The sequence below is a fragment of the Homo sapiens genome, chromosome 9 (assembly GCF_000001405.40).
Source record: "Homo sapiens chromosome 9, GRCh38.p14 Primary Assembly".
Taxonomy (NCBI): domain Eukaryota; kingdom Metazoa; phylum Chordata; class Mammalia; order Primates; family Hominidae; genus Homo; species Homo sapiens.
This window is the reverse complement of record NC_000009.12, coordinates 40587086-40605235: the sequence shown is the minus strand read 5'-3', so window position 1 is coordinate 40605235 and position 18150 is coordinate 40587086. Positions and strand designations below refer to the sequence as shown.

Here is an 18150-nt window from a genome sequence, read left to right as displayed (position 1 = left end):
AGGAGAATCGCTTGAACCTGGGAGGTGGAGGTTGCAGTGAACCGAGATCATGCCACCTCACTCCAGCATCAGTAACAGAATGAGATTCCATCTCAAAAAAAGAAAAGAGTGTAATATCGGTATACACAGATAATATACTGAATGAAACAAATAGAATAATTTGAAGAGGTATCTTGATGAACAAGGAGTCTTTAGAAAGGTTGTATTTATGTCTTTGAAGGAAATTGCAATGTGAGAAATTAATACTTTGACTACTATAGTAAAAGTTTATTGCTAACATCTATTGAGTTATTAACGTGTGTTAGGCAGAGTACCATATAATTTACAAGTGTTATCTCATTTATTGTAGGTAAAATGTAATTTCAAACTCTGGGAGTATAAATGAATTAGATAGAATAAAATTCTATTTAAATGGCCATCAGTAAATCGGTATCTAGGAACAGGGTGATACAGTGCCCAAGTTTTCTATTCTTACTAAATGTTGTGTTTCCTTTTCAATGTTTTCTTGGATATTGCTCTTTTTTGGTGATTTTGATTTTTTTTATTTTAGAAAACTAATAAATTGACTCTTCTTGGTACTGACTCGGGTTTTATAGAAGAAAAAGTAATTAAATTCTGTACATTTACCTTTACCTCATTTTTTCTCTTTTAAATTTACTTTAATTGACATACAATAAATGTACATGTTATGGGGTACAGAGTGATATTTTGATATATTTATGCAATGCGTAAAGATCAAGTCAGAGTCATTATCATATCCATTACCTAAATCATGTATTATTTCTTTGCAGTGAGAATATTCAAAATCTTTTTAGTTATTTGAAAACACACAATAAATTCCCATTAACTACAGTCACCCAACAGTGCTGTAGAGAACTAGAACTTCTTCCTTCTCTCCAGCTGTAATTTTGTATGTATTAAGCACATTTTTCTTATACTCTTCTTTCTCCTACTCTTTCCAGGATATGGTAACCAAAACTCTACTATCTACTTCTACGAGATTAAAAATTTTAGCTTCCATACATAAGTGAGAACATGTAGTTATGTGGTGTTTATATTTCTATGCCAGGCTTATTTCACCTAACATAATGCCCTCCACTTGCATTCTTGTTGCCACAAACAACAGGATTTTGTTCTTTACTATGACTAAATAATATTCCATTATATATGTATGTCACATTTCTTTATCCATTCATCTGTTGATGGACACTTTTGTTGATTCCATATCTTGGCTATTGTGAATAGTGCTGTAATAAACATGGGGGTGCAGGTAACTCTTTGATATACTGATTTTCTTTCCTTTGGATATATACTGAAAACCATATGATTAAATTAATAAACACAATAAAAGCGTTTGGCAAAATTAAATATTCTTACATGACAAAAAACTTCTCAACAATTTAGTATAGAAAATATATGCCTTAACACAAAGGACATAAAGGACAAATCTACAGCTAAGATCATACTGAGTGTGGAAAAGGTGAAAGATTTTACTGTGAACAAGAAAAAGATTTTACTGGAACAAGAAAAGGATGCCTATTCTCACCAATCATATTTCACATAGTGAAAGTCTTAGCCAGGACAATTAGGTGAGAGAAAGAAATAAAGGACATCTGAATTGGAAAGGAGACAGTCAAATTGTCCTTGTTTAAAGACAATGTGATCTTATACATGGAAAAAAATAAGACTCTACCAAAAGCTTCTCAGGGTGATACATGAAATTAATAAAGTTGCAGGATATAAATCAACATACAAAAATCAGTAGCATTTCTATATATTGATAGTAAACTAGCTGAAACAAGAAATTAAGAAAGCAATTCCTTTTACAATAGCTACAAAAATGTACTTAGAAATAAATTTAACCAAGTAAAAGATTTCGACAACAAAAATGACAAATATTAATGAAAGAAATTAAAGAAAACATAAAAAAGCAAAGACATCCACGTTTATAGATTGAAATAATATTCTTAAAATGACCCACTATCCTATGTGATTTACAAATTTAGTACAATCACTAGCTTGTATTTTTAAAAGCACCTTTGCTGCATATTCTTAACATATTCAATGACAATGCCTGGATTTAAGTTTGAGGTATTATTATATCTATTTTATACTGGGCACAATATAATGTTATCAGAGGTAACGGTTTTGATTGGTCCTAGGTCATACAGTAATATATACATTGTCATTTATAGACATGCTATCTTTTAATACTCAGGCATTTAGAAAGTTCATTTAGACAAAGTTATAAAAACTTGCCTTCCTTTCTGCCTATATCACCTAAAAATCCTAATTTAAGAGGTAATAACATTTTTTATTTGATATACAATTTATCAACACAATAAAAATCTAACAATTATCATGTGCAGAGTGTGAAAATCTCATCAGATTAAGGAACACAAAGACATCTTTTTCATATTTTGAATGTAAAACTGTTTTGGAAACTGTTATTTTTAGAAACAGTTAAAAACATTGTTTCATTAGTTTTTCATGTAAAATTGTGACAACCAGCATGAAATAACTGTCATCACAGAAGCATGGTATATTCGATTCCGAAACATATTCTTTGTAAGTTTTAATATATTTATGTATTATTTATACTTAATTGTAACCCATAATGTACAGATATGATTTTTCCTTCAACTCTTAAGAATATTCTTAAATAATAAAATTAATGAATTATAATTTTTGTTGGTTGGGAAAAACACACACGTGACAGTGCATCACTTCACCTCATCATTTCATCTCATTTCATCTTATCCTATCTCATCTCATCATTTCATATCATCTCATCATTTCATCTCATCATTTCATCAAATCTCATCTCATCTCATTTCCATTTCATTTTCATTATTTCATCATTTCATTTCACTATTTCATTTCATTTCATGTAATTTCATTTATTTCATTATGTCATTTCATATCATCTCATTTCATTTCATGTCATATTTTTTATATCATTTTTCGTATCATTTTTCATCTCATTTCATCTCATGTCATATTTTTTATATCATTTTTCGTATCATTTTTCATCTCATTTCATCTCAATTCATTTCATCTCATCATTTCATCTCACCTCATCATTTCCTCCTTTCTTTTCAACATTTCATCTCATTTCCTCTCATCTCATTTCAATTTTATTTCGTTATTTCATCTCATTTCATTATTTCACCTAATTTCATTATTTCATCTCATCTCATCTCAATTCATCTCATCTCATCTCATCATTTCATCTCATTTTTCATCTCATCATTTTTCATCTCATCATTTAATCTCATTTCATTTCATCTCATTTCAGCTCATTTCATGTCACATCTCTTCATCATTTCAACATTTCATTTCATCTCATCATTTCATCTCATCTTTCAATTTCATTTCAATATCATCAATTCATCATTTCATTTCACTTCATTATTTCATTATTTCATTTCATTTCAATTCATCTCATTTTTCATCTCATCATCTCATTTCATCATTTCATCTCATTTCTTCTCATTTCATCTCATTTTATCTCATTTCATCTCATCTCATTTCAATTTCATTTCATTATTTCATTTCACTTCATTTCATTTCATCTCATCACTTTATCTCATCTCATTTCATCAAATCATTTCTCATCTCATCTCATTTCATCATTTCATCTCGTTTCATCTCATTTCATCTCATCTCACCTCATCATTTCATCTCATCCTTTCATTTCATCTCATCGTTTCATCTCACCTCAGCATTTCATCATTTCATCTCATCATTTATTTCATCTCATTTTATCTCATTTCATCTAATATCTCAATTCAATTTCATTATTTCATTTCATCTCATTCATTTCATCTCATTTCATTACATCTCATTTCCTCTCATCATTACATCTCATCTCATCATTTCATCTCATCATTGCATCTCATCATTTCATCTCATCATTCATCTCATTTCATCTCATCATTTCCATTTCATTATTTCATCATTTAATTTCATCATCTCATTTAATTTCACCTCATTTCATTATTTCATTTCATTTTTTCATTTCATTGTCATTTCATTTCATCTCATTACATTTCATCTAATTTCATTTCACCTCATTTCATCTCATCATTTCATTTCATCTCATCATTTCATCTTTTCATCTCATTTCATCTCATCATCTCATCAACTCTTTTCATCTTATCTCATCATTTCATTTCATCTCATCATTTCATCTCATCTCGTATCTTATCTCATTTCAATTTCGTTTCATTATTTCATGTCATCTCATCTCATCTCATCATTTCATCTCATCATTTCATCTCATCACCTCATCATTTCATCATTTTATTTCATCATCTCATCATTTCATCTCATCTCATTTCGATTTTATTTCAATTTCATTTCACTATTTCATTTCATCTCATCATTTCATCTCACCATTTCATTTCATCATCTCATCATTTCATTTCATCATTCATCTCATCATCTCATCATTCATCTCATCATTTCATATCATCATTTTATCTCATCTATCATTTCATCTCATTTCATCTCATCTCATTCCATCATTACATCTCATTTCATCTCATTTTATGTCATCATTTCATGTCATCATTTCATCACATCTCATCTCATCATTTCATCTCATCATTTCATCATTTCATCTCATTTCAACTCATTGCATCTCAGCTCATCATTTCCATTTCATTATTCCGTTTCATCATTTCATTCATTATGTCATTTCATCTCATATTTCATCTCATCTCATCATTTCATCTCATTTTATCTCATCTCATTTCATCATTTCATCTCATCATTTCTTATCTCATCATTTCCATTTCATTTTCATTTCATTATTTCATCATTTCATTATTTTATTTCATCTCATTTCATTATTTCATTTCATTATGTCATTTCATTTCATCTCATTACATTTCATCTAATTTCATTTCACCTCATTTCATCTCATCATTTCATTTCATCTCATCATTTCATCTTTTCATCTCATTTCATCTCATCATCTCATCAACTCTTTTCATCTTATCTCATCATTTCATCATTTCATCTCATCATTTCATCTCATCTCGTATCTTATCTCATTTCAATTTCATTTCATTATTTCATGTCATCTCATCTCATCTCATCATTTCATCTCATCACATCTCATCATTTCATCAATTTCATCATCTCATCATTTCATCTCTCATTTCGATTTTATTTCAATTTCATTTCACTATTTCATTTCATCTCATCATTTCATCTCACCATTTCATTTCATCATCTCATCTCATCATTTCATTTCATCATTCATCTCATCATCTCATCATTCATCTCATCATTTCATATCATCATTTTATCTCATCTATCATTTCATCTCATTTCATCTCATCTCATTCCATCATTACATCTCATTTCATCTCATTTTATGTCATCATTTCATGTCATCATTTCATCACATCTCATCTCATCATTTCATCTCATCATTTCATCATTTCATCTCATTTCAACTCATTGCATCTCAGCTCATCATTTCCATTTCATTATTCCATTTCATCATTTCATTCATTATGTCATTTCAACTCATCATATTTCATCTCATCTCATCATTTCATCTCATTTTATCTCATCTCATCATTTCATCATTTCATCTCATCATTTCTTCTCATCTCATCATTTCCATTTCATTTTCATTTCATTATTTCATCATTTCATTATTTTATTTCATCTCATTTCATTATTTCATTTCATTATGTCATTTCATTTCATCTCATTACATTTCATCTAATTTCATTTCACCTCATTTCATCTCATCATTTCATTTCATCTCATCATTTCATCTTTTCATCTCATTTCATCTCATCATCTCAACCCTTTTCATCTTATCTCATCATTTCATCATTTCATCTCATCATTTCATCTCATCTCGTATCTTATCTCATTTCAATTTCATTTCATTATTTCATGTCATCTCATCTCATCTCATCATTTCATGTCATCATTTCATCTCATCACATCTCATCATTTCATCATTTTATTTCATCATCTCATCATTTCATCTCATTTCGATTTTATTTCAATTTCATTTCACTATTTCATTTCATCTCATCATTTCATCTCACCATTTCATTTCATCATCTCATCTCATCATTTCATTTCATCATTCATCTCATCATCTCATCATTCATCTCATCATTTCATATCATTTTATCTCATCTATCATTTCATCTCATTTCATCTCATCTCATTCCATCATTACATCTCATTTCATCTCATTTTATGTCATCATTTCATGTCATCATTTCATCACATCTCATCTCATCATTTCATCTCATCATTTCATCATTTCATCTCATTTCAACTCATTGCATCTCAGCTCATCATTTCCATTTCATTATTCCGTTTCATCATTTCATTCATTATGTCATTTCATCTCATCATATTTCATCTCATCTCATTTCATCTCATTTTATCTCATCTCATCATTTCATCATTTCATCTCATCATTTCTTCTCATCTCATCATTTCCATTTCATTTTCATTTCATTATTTCATCATTTCATTATTTTATTTCATCTCATTTCATTATTTCATTTCATTATGTCATTTCATTTCATCTCATTACATTTCATCTAATTTCATTTCACCTCATTTCATCTCATCATTTCATTTCATCTCATCATTTCATCTTTTCATCTCATTTCATCTCATCATCTCAACCCTTTTCATCTTATCTCATCATTTCATCATTTCATCTCATCATTTCATCTCATCTCGTATCTTATCTCATTTCAATTTCATTTCATTATTTCATGTCATCTCATCTCATCTCATCATTTCATCTCATCACATCTCATCATTTCATCATTTTATTTCATCATCTCATCATTTCATCTCATTTCGATTTTATTTCAATTTCATTTCACTATTTCATTTCATCTCATCATTTCATCTCACCATTTCATTTCATCATCTCATCATTTCATTTCATCATTCATCTCATCATCTCATCATTCATCTCATCATTTCATATCATTTTATCTCATCTATCATTTCATCTCATTTCATCTCATCTCATTCCATCATTACATCTCATTTCATCTCATTTTATGTCATCATTTCATGTCATTTCATCACATCTCATCTCATCATTTCATCTCATCATTTCATCATTTCATCTCATTTCAACTCATTGCATCTCAGCTCATCATTTCCATTTCATTATTCCGTTTCATCATTTCATTCATTATGTCATTTCATCTCATATTTCATCTCATCTCATCATTTCATCTCATTTTATCTCATCTCATTTCATCATTTCATCTCATCATTTCTTATCTCATCATTTCCATTTCATTTTCATTTCATTATTTCATCATTTCATTATTTTATTTCATCTCATTTCATTATTTCATTTCATTATGTCATTTCATTTCATCTCATTACATTTCATCTAATTTCATTTCACCTCATTTCATCTCATCATTTCATTTCATCTCATCATTTCATCTTTTCATCTCATTTCATCTCATCATCTCATCAACTCTTTTCATCTTATCTCATCATTTCATCATTTCATCTCATCATTTCATCTCATCTCGTATCTTATCTCATTTCAATTTCATTTCATTATTTCATGTCATCTCATCTCATCTCATCATTTCATCTCATCACATCTCATCATTTCATCAATTTCATCATCTCATCATTTCATCTCTCATTTCGATTTTATTTCAATTTCATTTCACTATTTCATTTCATCTCATCATTTCATCTCACCATTTCATTTCATCATCTCATCTCATCATTTCATTTCATCATTCATCTCATCATCTCATCATTCATCTCATCATTTCATATCATTTTATCTCATCTATCATTTCATCTCATTTCATCTCATCTCATTCCATCATTACATCTCATTTCATCTCATTTTATGTCATTTCATGTCATCATTTCATCACATCTCATCTCATCATTTCATCTCATCATTTCATCATTTCATCTCATTTCAACTCATTGCATCTCAGCTCATCATTTCCATTTCATTATTCCATTTCATCATTTCATTCATTATGTCATTTCAACTCATCATATTTCATCTCATCTCATCATTTCATCTCATTTTATCTCATCTCATCATTTCATCATTTCATCTCATCATTTCTTCTCATCTCATCATTTCCATTTCATTTTCATTTCATTATTTCATCATTTCATTATTTTATTTCATCTCATTTCATTATTTCATTTCATTATGTCATTTCATTTCATCTCATTACATTTCATCTAATTTCATTTCACCTCATTTCATCTCATCATTTCATTTCATCTCATCATTTCATCTTTTCATCTCATTTCATCTCATCATCTCAACCCTTTTCATCTTATCTCATCATTTCATCATTTCATCTCATCATTTCATCTCATCTCGTATCTTATCTCATTTCAATTTCATTTCATTATTTCATGTCATCTCATCTCATCTCATCATTTCATGTCATCATTTCATCTCATCACATCTCATTTCATCATTTTATTTCATCATCTCATCATTTCATCTCATTTCGATTTTATTTCAATTTCATTTCACTATTTCATTTCATCTCATCATTTCATCTCACCATTTCATTTCATCATCTCATCTCATCATTTCATTTCATCATTCATCTCATCATCTCATCATTCATCTCATCATTTCATATCATTTTATCTCATCTATCATTTCATCTCATTTCATCTCATCTCATTCCATCATTACATCTCATTTCATCTCATTTTATGTCATCATTTCATGTCATCATTTCATCACATCTCATCTCATCATTTCATCTCATCATTTCATCATTTCATCTCATTTCAACTCATTGCATCTCAGCTCATCATTTCCATTTCATTATTCCATTTCATCATTTCATTCATTATGTCATTTCATCTCATCTCATTTCATCTCATTTTATCTCATCTCATCATTTCATCATTTCATCTCATCATTTCTTCTCATCTCATCATTTCCATTTCATTTTCATTTCATTATTTCATCATTTCATTATTTTATTTCATCTCATTTCATTATTTCATTTCATTATGTCATTTCATTTCATCTCATTACATTTCATCTAATTTCATTTCACCTCATTTCATCTCATCATTTCATTTCATCTCATCATTTCATCTTTTCATCTCATTTCATCTCATCATCTCAACCCTTTTCATCTTATCTCATCATTTCATCATTTCATCTCATCATTTCATCTCATCTCGTATCTTATCTCATTTCAATTTCATTTCATTATTTCATGTCATCTCATCTCATCTCATCATTTCATCTCATCACATCTCATCATTTCATCATTTTATTTCATCATCTCATCATTTCATCTCATTTCGATTTTATTTCAATTTCATTTCACTATTTCATTTCATCTCATCATTTCATCTCACCATTTCATTTCATCATCTCATCTCATCATTTCATTTCATCATTCATCTCATCATCTCATCATTCATCTCATCATTTCATATCATCATTTTATCTCATCTATCATTTCATCTCATTTCATCTCATCTCATTCCATCATTACATCTCATTTCATCTCATTTTATGTCATCATTTCATGTCATCATTTCATCACATCTCATCTCATCATTTCATCTCATCATTTCATCATTTCATCTCATTTCAACTCATTGCATCTCAGCTCATCATTTCCATTTCATTATTCCATTTCATCATTTCATTCATTATGTCATTTCATCTCATCATATTTCATCTCATCTCATCATTTCATCTCATTTTATCTCATCTCATCATTTCATCATTTCATCTCATCATTTCTTCTCATCTCATCATTTCCATTTCATTTTCATTTCATTATTTCATTTCATTATTTTATTTCATCTCATTTCATTATTTCATTATGTCATTTCATTTCATCTCATTACATTTCATCTTTCATCTCATAATTTCATCCATCATTTCATTTCATTTCATCATTTCATCTCATGATTTCATCTCATCTCATTATCTCATTTCATCTCATTATTTCATCTCATTTCATCTCATCTCATTTCATCATTTCATTTCACCATTACATCTCATCATTTCAACTCATCTCATTTCAATTTCATCATTACATTTCATAATTTCCTTTCATTATTTCGTTTCATTTCATCTCATTTCATTATTTCATTTCATCTCATTTTTCATCTCATCATTTTTCATCTCATTTCATTTCATCATTTCATCTCATCGTTCATCTCATCTCATCATTTTATCTCATTATTTCATCTCATATCATCTCATTACAATTTCATTATTTCATATCATTTCATTATTTCATTTCATCTCGTTTCATCTCATTTCATCCATCATCTCATTTCATCTCATTTTATCTCATCTCCTCTCCTTTCAATTTCTTTTCAATTTTGTCATTTCGTCTCATCATTTCATCTCATCATTTCTACTCACCATTTCATCTCAAAATTTCATCTCATCATCTCATCTCATCATTTCGTCATTTCATCTCATCATTTCATCTCAAGTCATCATTTCATCTAAGTGAAATGATGTAATGGAATCATGAAATGAAATGGATAGGATGCCCTCAGTGATGTTAAATTTAAAAATTGTTTCTTTTCATGTATGCATTTTTATATTTATATTTACTTATAGTTATTTTTACTTTTTATTTATATTTTTACTTATTTCTTTATTTATAAACAAGGTCCTGTTCTGTGGCCTAGGCTGGAATGCAGTGGTGCATTCACAGTTCACTGAAGCCTCAAGCAAACCTCCCACCTTAGCCTCCCAGGTAGCTGGGACCCCAGGTGCGCACCACCACACCTGGTTAATATTTTATTATTTGCAGAGATGGAGTCTTGCTATTCTGCCCAGGCTGGTCTCAAACTCCTGGGCTCAAGCAATCCTCCTGCATTGGCAACCCAAAATGCTGGGAGGACAGATATGAGCCACAGTGCCCAACCTATTTATTTATTTATTTATTTAATAAAGACAAGGTCTCACTATGTTGCCCAGGCTGGTCAACTCCTGGACTCAAATGATTCTCCAAACTTGGCCTCTCAAAATGTTGGGATTACAGGTATGAGCCACCATGCTTGGCCTAAAAATAGTATTATATTTTTGTATCATATAATTTTCAATTAGGTATTATGAATATTCTGTACAGGAAACACACCCTTAATTACATAGGAATAAACATTTGTTACACTGAGAAAAATCTAATAGAGCTAAAAATAAAAATTAATTTGGAAAGGTCATTAGATACTGATACATTCTTACGTTTATACATTCTTTCATATATTCATATATCCTTTTAACAGTATCAATGGTTTGGAGTTACGTGTACAAAGCCATGACCCATATGTAATACAACTAATAACAGGCACTTACAATTCAAGGCATATTATATACAAAGCTTTAACTTCTTATCAAAATATTTTACTTTTTTCTTTCTGTTTTGGCAGATACTATGAACACAACATTCAACTCACAGACACCATGGAGCCCTTACTAAGCATAAAGTACTGTGAAAGGCCAGGGCTAGGACAGAACTGAGACAGGGCCAGGGATAGGACAGAACTGGGGCAGGGTCATGGCCAGAGAAAAACCAGGGGCAGGGTCACAGCCAGGGACATGAGAGGACCAAGGCCAGGTCCAGAAGCAGGGAAGAACCAGGGCCAGGGCAGGGACATGGCAGGGCCAGGGCCATGGCAGGATCAGGGTCAGCAGAAGGCCAGGGCAGGGCTAGGGTGGCACAGGGCCAAGGCAGGGCAGGGTCAGTGTAGAGCAAGGAACGGGCCAGGGTATGGCAGGGCAGGGACAGGGAGGTCCAGGGCCAGAGTCAGGTCCAGGACATGGACAGGGCAGGGCCAGAAACATGGCAGGACCAGAAAGGGGACAGGGCAAGGGCAAGGCCAGAGAAGGACCATGGGAAAAACATGGCCAGGGAGGGTCCAGGGCAAGGGCAAGTCCAGGGCAGAACCAGAGCCAGAGCAGGCCAAAGGCAGGGCCAGGGCAGGGCAAGGCCAGGATAGGGCAGGGCCAGTGTAGGGTGAGGGTAGGACCAGGGTGAGTTCAGGGCCAGGGCAGGACTAAGATAGCACAGGGCTAAGGCAGGGCCAAAAGGAGGGGCCAGGGCCAAGCATGGCCAGTGTCAGACCTGGGGATTGTCAGGGTCAGGGTCAAGGCTGGTCCAGGGACAGGGCCAGAGCAAGGGCAGGGCCAGGGAGAAAGCAGAACCAGAGAGGATCCAGAGCAAGGCCAGGGTCAGGGCAGAACCAGGACCAGGATAAGGCAAAGCCAAGGCCAGGGCAGGGCAAGGCCAGGGCAGGGCAAGACCAGGGAAGGGCAAGGCCAGGGTAGAAAAGGCCAGGGTAGGGCCAGGCCAGGGTAGGAGAAGGCCAGGGTAGGGCCAGGCCAGGGTAGGAGAAGGCCATGGTAGGGCCAAGGCCAAGGCAGGGCAGGGCTAGGGTAGCACAAGGCACGGCCAAAAACAGAGCAGGGCCATAGCAGTGGCAGGACTAGCAACAGGGCTAGGGCAAGCGCTGGACCAGAGCATGGTGGGGACAATATAGGGCCAGGACAGAGGATGGCAAGGCAGGTCCAGGGCCATTTCATGGACTCAGTAGACCTGGGGTCAGGCCAGGGCAGGGCAAAGGCAAGGCCAGGAAGAAGGCAGGGCCGGGGCCAAGGCAGTGTCAGGGCAGGGCAGGACCAGTGCAGGGCCAATGCAGGGTGAGGGCAAGGCCAGGGCATGGAAGGGCAGGGCAGGATCAAGGAAGGGCCAGGAGAGGGCCATGGCAGGGTCATGGCGAGAACAAGGGTATGGCTGGGGTCAGGAATATGGTAGGATGAGGGCTGGGCCCAGGCTGGGGCACGCAGGGCAGAGCATGGTCTGTGCAAGGCATGGCCAGAGCCAGGCCATAGAGATGGGAGGGCAACACCAAGGCAGAGTCAGGGTAGATCCAGGGCTGAGCAGAGTCAGGGCAGGTCCAGAGTCGAGGCAGAGCTAGGGCCCAAGCAGGGCCATGGTAGCACCAGGGCAGAGGAGGGCAGGGCAATGCAGGACTGGGCCATGGAAGTGCCTGGTCAACTCCGGGGCAGGGCCAGAAGCAGGACAGGGCCAGGGCCAATGCTCAGGCCAGGGAAAGGGCATGACAGGACATGCCAGAGCAGGGCTGGGCCAACTTTGGGGCAGGGCAAATCAGACCAGGACACCTCCAAGTCCAGCTCTGGCCCTGCCTTGGCCCTGGCCCCTTCCTGGCCTGACCTTGTCCCTGGCCCTGCCCTATCCATGCCCTGTGTGTTTGACCAGTGTTTTATAACCAGAATCCTACAAGAAACTTAAATTAGTTCTTTTTGTGCATTTTTAGTAGAGATGGGGTTTCACAACGTTGCCCAGGCTGGTTCCAAACTCCTGAGCTCAAGCCATCTGCCTGCCTTGGCCTCCCAAAGTGCTGGGATTACAGGAGTAATCTGGCCAAGTATTTACCTTCTTTATGCCTGTTTCCTACATTTGGAAAATGGGGATGCTTTAAGTACCTAGCATATAGAATTATTACAAGAATCAATGCCTCACATATTTACATGTTGATAAAATTATACTCATAGAACACTACTGGAAGCAAAGATAGTATTAGTTAAAATTTAGTGATTACTGCAAGTATTATTACTATTACAAACAACATAGTATAGACATTACTACTACTATAGTTATCTTAAAAATCTAAAATAAAAATTTTAGTAATAGCCTAAAGTAATCTCTCCTGCTCTGCCCTGGCTCAGCCCTAGTGCCGGCTCTGCCCCTAGTCCTACTACATCCCTGGCCCTGACCATTCCCTGGTCCAGCCGCTGCCCTGGCCCTTCCCATCTTCAGGCCTTAACATGGCCCTACCCTGGTCCTGACCCTGCCCTGGTCTGGTCCTGACCCTGGCCCTACCCCAGAGAAGGGGTATGGCAGAGCCAGGGAAGGGCCGGGGCAAATAAGGGACAGGACACATCCAAATCCAGGAACGGGCCAGGGCCATGACAGAGCCAGGGCGAGTCCTTGGCAGGGCCAGGTTCCAGGCCAGGACCAGGAAAATGTCATGGCAGGGTCACTGTATGGCCAAGGTCCAGGCCAAAGCCAAGGCAGTGGCAGGGTCAGGTCTGCATAAGGGCAGGACCAGAGCCAGTGATACGGCAGGGCCAGGGCCAGGGCCAGGGCTGTGCCAGGACAGAACAAGAGCAGAGCAGGGCAGGACCACAGCCAGGCCATAGAGAGAGTAGGGCAAATGCCAAGGCAATGCCAGGGTAGTGCCAGGGCTGAGGCAAGGTCAGGGAAGGTCCAGGGCTGAGTCAAGGCTAGAACCAAGATGGGGCAAAGGCCGGGGCAGATCTAGGGCACAAGCGGGGCAGATCTAGGGCACAAGCAGGGCAAGCTAGGGCAGGGCAATGGCAAGACCAGGCCATGGCAGGGCCAGCCCAGGATAGAACAGGGCACAGGCAGGGCAGGGCCAGGGCCACGGCTGGGGCAGGACAAGGACCAGGACCGGGGTCCAGGCCAGGGCAAGGGTATGGCCAGGGCAGAGGTAGGGCCAGAGCCAGGGTCTGGGCAGGACTAAGGCAGGTCTATTGCAGGGCCAGGGTTCAGACCAGGGCCAGAGCAGGGCTGGGACAGGGCCAGGGCCAGAACCAGGAAAGGGCAATGTCAGGACAAGGGCCATGGCAGGACCAGCAACGGGGCTAGGACCAGGACAGGGACAGGGACAGGGTCAGGGCTAGGGCCAGAAGAGCATGCCAGGGTAGAGCCAGGCCAAATTAGGGCCAGGGCTGGGCCAGGGTATGGCCTTAAGTAGTGAAGGGCCAGGGCCAGGGTCCATGCCAGTGCCAGCGCCGGTCCAGGGCAGACGCAGGGCCATGGCCAGGTCTAGGACAAGGCTGTGGCAGGGCCAAGGTCTGGGTCAGGGTCAGCATAAGACCAGGACAGAGCCAGGGGAGGGACAGGGCCATGGTAAGACCAGGTTAAACCATGGACAAGACACCTGCAAATCCACTTCAGGGCCAGGGTCAGGGCAGGGCCAGTTCAGGGCCAGGGTAAGGGCTGCCAGGGTCATTGGCAGGGCCAGGGCCATGGCAGGACCAGGGTCAGGAGCAGGGGTCAATGCCAGGCCAAGGCCACAGATAGGACCAGGTCTGTGCTAGGGCCAGTGTGAGGGCCAAGACGGGGTCAGGGCAGGGCCAAAGGGAGGGCAGGGCCAGGGCAGGGTTGAGCAGGCCCAGGGTAGCACAGGGTTAAGGTAGGGCACGACCAACCAGGGCAGGTCTATGGCTGGGGCCGGGGCAGGGCCAGGGCCGGGGCAGGGCCAGAGCCAGGGCAGGGCCAAGACAGTGGCAGCTCCAGGGCAGGGCCAGGGTTAGGACCACGGACATGTCCAAGGCCAGTGCCAGGGCAAGGGCAAGGGCAGGGGCAGGGCCAGGGTCATCTAAGAATTAGGGACAAAGCCAGGCCCAGAGCTGGGCCAGGACCGGTACCTGCAGGGCTAGGGTCTGGGCCAGGGCCACAACCAGGTCTGTGCTATGGCCAGGTCCAACACAGTGCCCTGGTAAGGCTAGGGTGAAGGCCAAGGTAGGGCCAGGGCAGGGTCAAAGCCAGGCTAGGGCCAAGGCAGGGCCAGGAAAGCATAGGGCCAGGGCAGGGCAGGGCCAGGCCAGTGCCAAGACCTGGGCAGGGCCAGGGCCAGGGCCATAGAAACGGCCTGGGCAGGACCAGGTTCGGGGCAGGAGCAAAACAAGGGCAAGGACAGTGCAGGTTCTTGGCACAGCCAGGGTCCAGGACAGTGTCAGGGCAGGGCCAAGGCAGGGTCTGGGCCATGGTAAGACCAGCAACAGGGCTGGGGCTAGGTCAGTGACAGGACCAGAGTCAGGGCAAGGGCCAGAGCAGGGCAAGGCCAGGGTAGGGCCAGGCATTTCAGGGTCAGGGCCATGGGAGAACCAGGGCAAGGTCTCAAGCAGGGAAGGGCCAGGGCCAGGACAGGTCCAGGGCAGGGTCATGACAGGGCCAGGGGCTGCATTAGGGCAAGGGCAGGGCCAGAGCAAGGTAAGGGTCAGGGCCAAGGCTAGGGTAGGGACAGGGCAAGAAATATGGCAGGACCAGGGGCAATGCCAAGGCCAAGGCTGAGTCAGGGCTGAGTCAGGGCAGGGCAGGGCAGGGCATGGTATGGCCAGTGCAGGACAGGACAAGAGCCGGTCCACAGAGAGAGCAGGGCTGATGCCAAGAATGAGCCAGGCTAGTGCCAAGGCTGAGGCAGTGTCAGAGCATGTCCAGGGCAGGGCCGGGGCCAGGGCCAGAACCGAGCCAGGGCACAGCCAAGGCAGGGTAGGGCGGGGAAATAGCGTGGCCGGGTCAGTACTGGGACAGGGCAGAGCAGGGCAAGGCGATGGTAGGGGCAGGGCAGAGACAGGCCAATGCAGAGCCATGTTACACCGGGGCCAGGACACCTCCAAGTCCACTTCAGGGCCAAAGCTATGGCAGGACAAAGACCAGGGCCAGGGTCAGAGCCAGGTCTGTGCTGGGCCTAGCGAAGACTAGGGTGAGGGCCAAGGCAAGGCCAGGGCAGGGTCAAAGGCAGAGTAGAGCCAGGGCAGGGTGATGACACATCCAGAGCACAGCAGGGCAGGGTGATGGCAAGACCAGGGGCAGACCACTGCCAGCTCAGGGCCAGGGAAAGGCCAGTGCAGAGCCAGGAAAGGGTCTGGGTCTGGGTCAGGGCCAGGAACAAGGCAGAGCAGGGCCAGGGCCATGGCAGAGTCAGGGCAGGTCCTTGACAGGACCAGGTTCCAGGCCAGGGCCAGGGCAGCAGCAGGGGCAGGGCCTGGATAAGGGCAGGGTCAGGGATATGGCAGGACCAGGGCTAGGGCCAGGGCCAGGCCATAGTGAGGGCAGGGCAAAAGCCAAGGCAGGGTCAGGGCAGGTCCAGGGCAGGTCCAGGAAGCGGCCAGCACCAAGCGGGGCCAAGGCACAACCAGCGCAGGGTAAGGCAGGGCAATGGCACCACTGGGCCATGACAGGGCCAGGTCAGTGCCAGGAGAGGGCAGAACAGGAAGGCCCATGGTGGGGCCAGGGCAGGGATGGGCCAAAGCAGAGCCAGGACATTTCCAAGGCCAGGTCAGGGCCAGAACAGGAGCAGGACCATGACCACTGGCAGGGCCAGTGCCATGACAGGACCAGGGTCAGGACAAGGGGCAGGGCCAGAGCCAGGGCCAGAACCAAGGTCAGGCCAGTGCACGTTCAGGGCAGGGCCAGTGCCAGGGCAAGACCAGGGCAGGGACAGGGTAGCACGGGGCCAAGACAGGGTCAGGATGGGACCAGAGCAGGACAGGGCTGAGAGTCCAGGTAACAGTAGGGCAGGTACAGGGCAAGGCAGGGCAGTACAGGGCCAGATCCACGGCAGGCACAGGGCAAAGCCAGGCCCATTGCCAATGCACCACCCCTCCCTACAAGGCTCCTACCACCTGGCCACTGCTGCAGCCTGTCCATCGCTGTAAGCCTGACTCCCAACCCTGCCTGCAGCCGCCCGCCCTCCTAGCGTGGCCACTCTCCTACCGCTATGGTGCACTGCAGTCTCCGTCACTGCCACCCACCCGCAGCGAGGTGAGCCGTGGTGTTGCAGGCTCTAGGTGTCTCCTCCTCCTCCTGGCATGGAGCAGCTGGGCGGGCAAAGCCAGAAAAGCCTAGAGGAAGTTGTGAGGAGTGGAAGCGTTAGAGCCTCAAGTTGTCATGCCGGCCACTGGGTGGCAGGGGCCAGTTTCAGCAAAGGCACTCACACCCACCCTCCAAAGTCCAGCCTCTCCTTTTGGCCCAAGCTGGCCGGGAACTGGGGTCTGGGGTGGGTGCTGGAGACACCACAGCACCCAGCTCCCCACTCCACAGGAACCACTGGGCCCACCGGGGCTGCACTCCTCGGGGAACAGGAGAAGCAGAAAAATTCAGACCCAGCCAGCCCTCCGCACCCAGGTGCCAATTCCTGTTCCGGATGCCTCCACACACAGGGCCCTGTTCCCCGTGGTGTCCCCAGGGGTGCCTGGCAGCCTCTGAGGCACAGACCCAGAGTGCACAGGCCCAGGAACCACGGTGGGTGTGGGGACTCTGCCATGCTCAGGATTCCCATGCAAACGCTGCGTGCCCTGCC

The 18150-nt window shown here is 41.4% G+C and overlaps 1 long non-coding RNA gene across 5 annotated transcripts in view; it reads right to left on the bottom strand.

The window, feature by feature from the left end:
- LOC107984006 (uncharacterized) overlaps nucleotides 1-18150 on the bottom strand; it is a 52131-nt gene that overhangs the window by 31086 nt on the left and 2895 nt on the right. For 2 of the 5 annotated variants that reach the window (XR_007061501.1, XR_007061503.1), the window contains exon 3: nucleotides 17565-17692. This is a non-coding gene — a long non-coding RNA (uncharacterized LOC107984006). Of the gene's footprint in view, nucleotides 1-11046; nucleotides 17693-18150 lie in introns of those variants that run through there. The other 3 variants (XR_929655.3, XR_929656.4, XR_007061502.1) reach the window with 2 other exon arrangements.